Source organism: Homo sapiens, chromosome X (genome assembly GCF_000001405.40).
Source record: "Homo sapiens chromosome X, GRCh38.p14 Primary Assembly".
NCBI lineage: Eukaryota > Metazoa > Chordata > Mammalia > Primates > Hominidae > Homo > Homo sapiens.
Window position 1 is genome coordinate 150,007,763 of NC_000023.11, and position 9,225 is coordinate 150,016,987.

General features: G+C 38.7%; 1 long non-coding RNA gene across 1 annotated transcript in view; it reads left to right on the forward strand.

Moving 5' to 3' along the window:
• Positions 1 to 9,025, forward strand: part of EOLA2-DT (EOLA2 divergent transcript) — a 78,240-nt gene extending 69,215 nt beyond the window's left edge. The window contains exons 10-12 of the long non-coding RNA NR_027456.1: positions 8,189 to 8,378; positions 8,575 to 8,738; positions 8,849 to 9,025. This is a non-coding gene — a long non-coding RNA (EOLA2 divergent transcript). The remainder of the gene's footprint in view (positions 1 to 8,188; positions 8,379 to 8,574; positions 8,739 to 8,848) is intronic.
• Positions 9,026 to 9,225: the final 200 nt, after the last annotated feature.

Sequence of the window (9,225 nt, forward strand, 5' to 3'; positions counted from 1 at the left end):
TGCAAAGCCAGTATCAGCTAGTCCAAGGTAAACCCAGTTCAAAGGAGAAGAGTAAATGACCTAAGTGAGCAGCAAAGGCAGACCATATTTGGACACTAATAATGGTGAATTTTATGTGTCAACTTGACTAGCTTATGGTGCCCAGTTGTTTGGTCAAATACTAGTCTAGATATTGCTGTTTAGGGATTTTTTTAGATGAGATTAACATTTAAATCAGCAAACTTTGAGTAAAGCATTACCCTCCATAATGTGGGTGGGCCTCATCCAATTCATTGAAAGCTTTGAGATTAAAAAAAAAAAATGTGGTTTCCCAAAGAAGAAAACATTTGGCCTCAAAACCGTAACATGGAAACCCTGCCTGAGTTTCTAGGCTGCTTGACCAGCCATGCAAATTTTGGATTCCAGACTGTAACATCACTTCTTACCCGGGTTTCTAGCCTGTCTGCATGTGCAGACTTACCATCTCCCACAATCATCTGAACTAGTTCCTTAAAATCTCTAACACCTGAAAGGAACAGGACTCCACAAAGACCAACCTCTCTGACAGTCCTGCTGAAATAGTAAAACGATCAAGCATAGAGTTTTTGTGCTAAACATTCCAGGGGTGCTTATTTATTGAGGAACAGTGTTTCTAATCTTCAAGAAATTTTATTCCCTGAGAAATTTCCCCATTTATTTTAATTTGCTTGTGCAGTCTTTTAAGTGGGTTATATTACTTTGTACATGGATCGCTTTGCTGTGCTTTTATATGAAAATCATTATTAGTAGTCAACATAAGATACAAAGTGTACTGCTTCTATAAAGCTTATCTTACAGCATATATATAGCCTGCTGAAAATATATTGCTCATTTGTTATTAAAAATCCTACCCAAGTAAAAAAAAAAAAAAATCTCTCTCTCTCCCTCTCTCTCTCTCTCCATACGCAGACACACACACACACCCCCATGCACGCACGCGTGCATGCACTATGGTTGGAATGTTGTTTGTCCCCTTCAAAATTCATGTTGAAATTTGATTGCCATTGTGACAATATTTAGGAAGTGGGGCCTTTGAGAGGTGATTGGATCGACAGGGCTCTGCCCTCATGAGTGGATTAATGCTGTTGAGTAGGAGTGAGTATGTTATAAAAGGGCAAGTTTGGCCCCCTTTTGCTCTCTCCCTCTCAGCTCTTTTGCTCTTCTGCCATGTGAGGAATAGTGTTTCTCCCTCTGGAGGATGTAGCATTCAAGAAGCCGTCTTGGAAGTGGAGACAGCTTTGACTCGATGCCAAATCAGCTGGTACCATGATCATGGACTTCCAGCTTCCAGAACTGTGGAAAACATATTTCTGTTGTTTATAAATTACCCAGTCTGTGGTATTCTGTCAGAACAGCACAAAATGAACTAAGACAATGTGTTTGTGTGTGTTTATGTGTGTGCATGCACATGTATGAGCGTGTGCATGTGTGTGAGTGTGTGTGTGTATCTCCTATTTGTTCTCTCTGGATAACCATGACTGAAACAGATATCATGAAGATAGCAATGCGGCTTTGAGCAGAGACAGTTGCAGGATTATGGAGAGCCTTGAGTGAGCTGTCATTATGAGTTCTTTTACCCCAATAGTCATAAAATATTGAGTAATATTTGAGTAATAATAATTAATTATTACTATGTCTACTAAGTGAGCATATATTGTGCCATAGAGGTTGGTTGGCATGATTTCTATTGACTCAGATTTCTGAGATGCTAATCCAGAGCCTGAGTGGAAGTCTCTCATCTTCCTGTCAGAGAAGCTTTACTCTCCTGAAGAGAGCACCAAAAGCTGGGTATCCTCCATCAGGGAATGGGGATCAGACTAGAAAAGGCCTCCAGCTCTGTCAGGTTAATACTGGGATCAAGAAGGACTTTTTATATTAATGGAGTCAATGCCATTGAAAGTTAGCATTCATTTAGTCCACTTCTTCATTGTATACATAGGGAGAGTGAACCTGAGAGAAGAGAAGCCACCTTTATAGGCCACACAGCAAGTTGGTGGCACAGCCAGGCCTCACACTCACATCTCCTGACAATAAGTAAGGTAGAGAAGAAAGGAGAAGGAAAGAGATAAAGGTTGTTTGCTAGAAGAGAAGTCTGGATTCCGGTTGTGCTTTTTCTATGAGCCATTTGGTGAGTAATTGTCCCAAAGTTTGGAAGTGTCCCAGTTTTCACAACTGGATAGAATGGAGGGAAAATAGAAAAGTTTGAAAAGTAAAGTGAAATAACATAGACAACATATTTATAAGGGCCCCTAACTGCTAAATTACAAAATTGAAAATGATCTATATAGTTTTCATTGATGAGTAAATCTGCTTTCTGGTGGACTTCTCTAGTGGCAACAAGGCTACTGCACTCAGTCTCACCACCTTGACCAAAGGCCAAGTTTGCCCTTGTTAAAATAAAGGTACACTGTGCTTGCTGTGGGGCCAGGCTTCCTTATTTCTCTCCTATATTTGTTCAGGAATTTGGTTCTGTCCCATGAGGATACTAAATTGCATTGATCAATGAAAATGGCATCTGTGCTTGTTTGTTTTAACTTGACTTTGATAGCTTCATCCATTAAACTTTCAATGAAGTTGTAATTTCTTTAAAAAAAAAAACCCTAAATTTAAAAACATGCTGGCAGTTCATAATTACCTTGGTATATATCAAGATGAATCAGTGAAGGTGACTCTCTTTCCTTTGCATTTAGTATTGTTGCTTTGTGCCTGTATTTTCTATTTAGGATTTATTAGTGTAAATCCCCCTTATACATCATTGAAAGCATTAGGATTTATGTAGTGTTAAATCCATATCAGGATTTATATGGAATTAAATCCAATCTAAGAGACAGGTGGATAACCTAGTGGGGTTTTGTACCCATAATTTCTACCGCTCTTTGTGGAAAAGCATTTCATTACAAACTTTCAGATTTGGGAAGGCAGTGTTCTGCAAATGGCACCTATTAGTACCAATGTGGAGCGTTTTACTGCACTTTCCATGTAGTCCCTGGGCTCCTCACTGAGAAGCATCCTCATGGCAAAGCATCTTTCATGGCCACGAGGAGGACATTAACCTCTTCTCTGCTCCTTCCCTGTTTGGAGCACAGCACAGCTTTGATTAACTCTTTAAAGAGCCTTCTGTTTACACCCTCTCACAGATCTGCAGACAGTATTTGCAAAGCACATTGCAATTTTTGACAGCAGGCACCACTGGGGTGGGGAAGATACTTGTCAGCTTTTTCCTTTGGTGACTTTCCTTCCATTTTTTTTTATCTTTTGAGGGAATGAAAACTGCTCCAAGTTGGTGCTTGCTATTCTCCTTTTTTATTTCTTTTCTCTTCTTTGTATATGCTTTTCCCCATCCCATATACCAACTGATGGGGTGATTGAGTGACTTTCATCCATTCAGTCAAGTATTTACTGAGTCCTACTTCATGCAAAGTACTGTACAATGTACTGAGTTTTTAGAGTTATTTCTTTCTGGGGTTGTTGTCCCTTTTTAAATTATAAAAATAATACATACTTATGGTAAAAATGCACAGTACAAAAGCATATAAAATGAAAAGAAGATCCTCTTCCACATCAAGCTCCTAGTTTCACTCCTTTGTATAACATCAATAACAATTTCTTACATATCCCTATAAAAATTTTCTATATGTATATAAGTGTGTATGTAATGTATACATTCATACATATATGTACATATAGGTAACATACACACATTTACTTATATATGCTTTCTTAGAAAACTCAGACTGGAGCATGGTAAACACAAGTTTTGTACATCCACTTCCATGTTGTATCAGGCCATTTGCTTTGCTATAAAGAAATACCTGAGGCTGGGTAATTTACAAAGAAAAGAGGTTTAATTGGCTCATGGCTCTACAGGTTGTACAGGAAGTTTGCTGCTGGCATCTGCTTCTGGTGAAGCCCTCAGAAAGCTTACAATCATGTGGAAAACGAAGGTGGAGCAGGCACATCATATGGTGAGAGAGAGAACAAGAGAGAGACGGAGAAGGTCCCAGTCTCTTAAAAAAACAGATCTCATGTGCACTCAAAGTGACAACTCACTTATCACCAAGGTGATGATGCTAAGCAGCTAAAGGGGCTGACCAGTCACCTCTCACCAGGTCCCACCTCCAACATTAGGAATCACATTTCAACATGAGATTTGGAGAGGACACACATTGAAACCATGTCACATGTGTATCTTTCCATGCTTTCCATGTCAGCACATGCAGTCTTGCTGACTCCCTTAAAGGCTACATGGTTGAAATGTAACTTTAGGAAAACCCTGAGGTTTTGATAAGTTTTGTATATAGGGCACTGAATTTGATTTTGAATGTGTAAATTCAGTGTTCATTTGCTGTCTTCAGGTTTCTTTTACTTTTTCTCTATATTGAGGGCACTACCCAGTTATGCATTCTGACACTTGAAGACTTCTGGTGGCTTGCAAATGCTCCATGGAGATGAAAATTAACTTGATTGGTTTTCCTTCCTGAGCACCATGTGTCCACTCTGGCCTTGGGCGACTCTCAAAGTGGGTTTCAAACCAGGCTTCAGAGTTTGTCCCAATACTTTCTAATAGTTTATTTTATCCTTTTCATAAGTTTTCTCCTACCGCTTCAGTCCATATTTTCTGGTCTGGCCTTATCAACTATAAAGTTCTTGTTTATTTGGAACTTGAGGTCAGTGACTTCTGACCTCACTAGCTTTCATTCTAGCTCACTCTTATTTAGGCATTTACTATATGCATAATTTCCTTTAATCCTCATGACAAACCCATGAGGGAGGTGCAGTAATTATCTCCAAAGTGACAGATGAGGCACAGGAAGGCTAAGGACATTGTCTACGGTCACACAGCTGGTAGATGGAAGAACTAGAATTTGAACCCAGGTTTATCTGACCCTAAAAAATATGCTTTTAATCAATATATATACTGCCTCCCTTAAATCAGTATTTCTAGCTTTTCTATGAGCCTGCGATTCTCTAGTGGCAAGCCACAATAATAGCCACACTGTGAACATAACACTGCATGCCAGACTCCATACCAGAGGGTGGAGCTGAGTTTTCTCATGCTGGAACAGCATTTTCTTACAAGCTAAACCATGGGAGGGATCTTGGGTGGGAAGAAGCACTTCCTGCTTATAATACAAGCCAAAAAGAGATTCCCACAGTATGAAGCCCACAGTTTTTCCTGTGTAATGACATTATGAAGACCTCAGGCAGAATCTCCAGCTATTGTGCATTTTTGTTTAATACATTTATACTGTAAATTAGTTAGAGCTATGGACTTGCAACTCCTACTTTGACCCAAAACACCAAGACACAAGAGGGAATGGTCTTTTATTTTATTTTCCTGATCAGAACTCTCTAGTTTCCTTATCAGTGTTGCTCACCCTGGGTGTTGCCTCTGAATTCAGATTTGTGTGAATGGGGTTTTCTAAGAGAAACCTTGGTAACCAAGAGACAGTTTCTGTCTCTGCCTTCTTCTGGTGGACTCCAATCCTGGCTCTCCAGCTGCCTTGCCTTCACGTTTTAGGGATTCAGAATCAGGATGCGATCATGGCCCAATCACAGAATTGAACATTTCTAAGTTCCTCAGTATCCAAAAGGAAAGGCATTTCAGATGTTAGGTAACTGTCCTTTATTCACTGTCTGATAGAAATTTAATGGTTACAAAGGGGTTTGTTTTTAGGTTTTTAGTTTTATTATTTTTAGTTTATTTCCAGCACTGGAAAATTAGCCTGAAAATCTGGAAAGGGAAAGGCCAAACCGATCACAGTTGGCCCTGGAATCGTGGGGGCATTCCCAATAATAAATGTCTAGATGGTGTGTTTATTCCAGTTCCAATCCAATCCAATTCAATGAATATTTGTTGAATGCCTGCTGTGAAGAAGATAAAGAATGAATAAGACATGGCTCTCACTCTCCAGGAGTTCACACTGTAATGAGAAATTGACATGTGCACTGTTAATTCTCATACAAAGAAGGCAATAATAAAGGTCTATACAGAAGTTTAAACAAGGTGTTAAGGGGATATTGGAGGAGTAAAAAATTATGTCGAATTAGAGTATCTGGAAGGAATGCTGTTTGAAAGAAGGTGGTTTTGAGCTTTGTCTTAAAGGGGTGATGAGATTATTATAGGAAGACATTGAGGTGAAAGGTAGTTTAGTTTGAAGAACCACACACTCTGCAGGTGTGCAGTCCCAGGGAACGCATGGCAATTAGTCTGGTAAGGTGGAGAGCAGCATGGCATACAGCTGGAGCGGTAAGTCCGACCCAGTTTATGAAGAGCCTTGAATACTAGACTAAGAGTTTGGACTTGCTCTGTAGGTTAAGGGGACTCTTGAATACCTACCCCTCAAAATCACAAAGGAGTCTGTTTCCTGTCATCATAGCACTTGGTTCTTCTCGGTAGCCCCTTTTACAGACAAATTCCTTCTAGTTACATTTGTACTCATTTGGTGAAGATTCTCTATGGGAAATACTTGACTTTAAAAAACTTGACACATAGTTTGATGTAAACGACTCTGATATATCAATAATGTATTTTATTCATTTATCTCCCAATTGTGTATGTAACTACATATACTTTGTATAATCATTGACTATGATTACAGTCTGTGTTGATATAACCTAAGAGTGGTTATGCATGATCTGGGTGGTATTGCATCTGGAATTTATCCTACTCTGTAACATGTTCCATTGAGCTTACACCAAACCAGTCTAGCTATGCCATCAGATTTCTCTTTACCAGCTCTATTTATGGTCTTTCTCTGACATTACTATAAGAATGTCAGGTTAAATTATATCAGATGCTTCTCTCTCCAAGATATGTTAACTTTGCTCCATCCTCTTTCACCATTCAGCTTGTCATTCTATCATGAACAGGAATTAGCTTCGTTTGGCATGATTTGTATTTGAAGAATCTGTATTGACTACTGTTTATCACTTGGGTTTCCCCTAGATACTCATAAATGACTGCCTTAATAATTGTCCTCACAGCTTACCAGATATTGAAATTAAATTTATGAGTTTAATTCCCTGAGTTCCCTGGGGACTTTTTTTTTTTTTAAAGAAAAATGGAACACAGCAGTTTCATGACTCACAACAACTCTTCCATAATAACCAATGTGATAAAAACATTTTTTCAGGGAAACAAATTTCAGTTTTAGCCTTCCAAATGACTATTACGAAAATTAACAACTAATAAAAAATTGAAATACTAAAAGACATCATGTATCCTCTCAAACTATTTATTTATTGTACTCATACATATTCTTAAGTGCAATAAAATCTGCCTAGAAATCATTAATCCACTAGTATATAGTCCTTACTTGGTGCTGGCAACTGAAAATTTGGTCTTTTTATATACAAATTGTTACACGCATGAAAAGTAGTCCAATAATGGCACTTTTTATAGGTTATTTCATAAGTACTCTTGGTTGGACATATGCTAAAGTATTGTTACAGGTTGCTGAGGCAACCCGCCTGCTACAGTTGTGGTTAACTCTAAAATTTACTGATAATGCTGACCTGAGACTTGAGTCTTATCTTCACTGAATGCAGTACAGGTGTATTGTAGGTAGGCTGTAGGAGGACCATAGCTACCTCTAAATCTTTACAGAAGATTTTGAATGTGGCTTTTGTTGCATAGAAAATAAATAAAATAAAATAAATCTCTACAGAAGACTGGCAAGAGATTGGTGCATATTTAATAGCAAACAGTGGGATGCTTTGAAAGGGATGGATAACATAGAACATTGAACAGCAAGAGCTTTAGTGGGGTTTAGGTTTTAGTAGTTGTCCAGCCAAGACTCTGCCTGTTACTGAAGCTAGGGATATGTGGAGTGACCAATTTACATCAGTCATAGTAGAGAAGTAATTGCTTTTATCTGACAAAAGCAGTCTGGACCCAGTCAACAACATGCTGATGCTACAGTCCCTATTCTTGATGTTTTATTGGAAAGTGGTAAGACTTCTTTTTCTCTCTGAGCTGGTACCACCAATTTGCAGTGGTATGTTCTAGAAGCAAATCATATTTCAGAGCTCTTTGGTTGTGTAATTTTTTTCAATAGGCATGATGAGTATTCTGGAAGCTGTATCATGGTGCCTTTTGCTTGGCTGTGTGTCATTACTATAATGCATAGGTTTTTTACTTGTTTGTGTGATTGTTTTTATTCCAAAGACTGCCATCCAGGGCCATGCAGCAAACAAGCAACAGGGAAATATCCCACTATGCAATCCTATTTTGAGATGATATTTAGGATGAGAGAACATGCATTAGTTACCTACCAGCTTGACAGGAATGGATTTCCAAATCTGACACACCATAGCCTGAATTCTCACCAGTTTGCTCCTGGAAAGGCCCGCTCATGGTAAGCTCCTTAGAGTTTGTTAGTAGTGGGGAAGCCTTGAGTTTCAGGAGAACGTGTTTGGATGGCATTTTAAGAAGCCATTCCATTTTTGGTAGAGTAGAAAAAGTCTGCATCTGAGTCTGTAGTACAGTCTGTTCTCTGGATGAACACAATGTCTCTCTCACATTTTTCTGATATTTATTCTGCAAATCAGCAGCATGAGCCCCTGCCACTCTTCTAAATAAGCTTCCAGGCATTACCTGCATGCTGTGTTCCTGTGGTGGGATGGCAGTAATCTCTGCTAAGATAAACGGGAGCTTCTGTGGATAAAGCATAAACGCAGTGAAGTGTGTGTGGCTGGAAGATTTAATGCCTCTACAGGTAATTTTTTTAGAGGGGGATCTGGCATTTGATCAAATCCAGAGTCATTATGTAAATTTAATCACCTTGCAACACACTAGTAATTTTATTATCTCCTTTTCATTTGACAGTGCTTAGATACAAGTTGAGCTTGGAATTCCAGAGGTAGAGCACTGCTGATTGGAGACATATTAAGTAAAATGTACTGTGGAAATGAGATAAAACCTTTATTCTTGCTAATGATTGTCATTGTATGTATTCAGGTGTCCAACAAAGGATTTTAGAATAAAGTGTGCCTTTAAAGTTTCCCACCTTCTTAAAGCTCCCAATGAATTGCAAAGGGCCTGTTTGGAATGGACTGTATTAAATCTACTTCAAATGAAAACCTTTACACTGAGTGAAATATGGTTCAACAATTCTTAACACAAGGCCTTTACACTTGTGTAGCCCATTTTGGTTTGGCCTATCTTGTCACTAGAATGCTGTCTGAGCTTGGATTATTTATGCC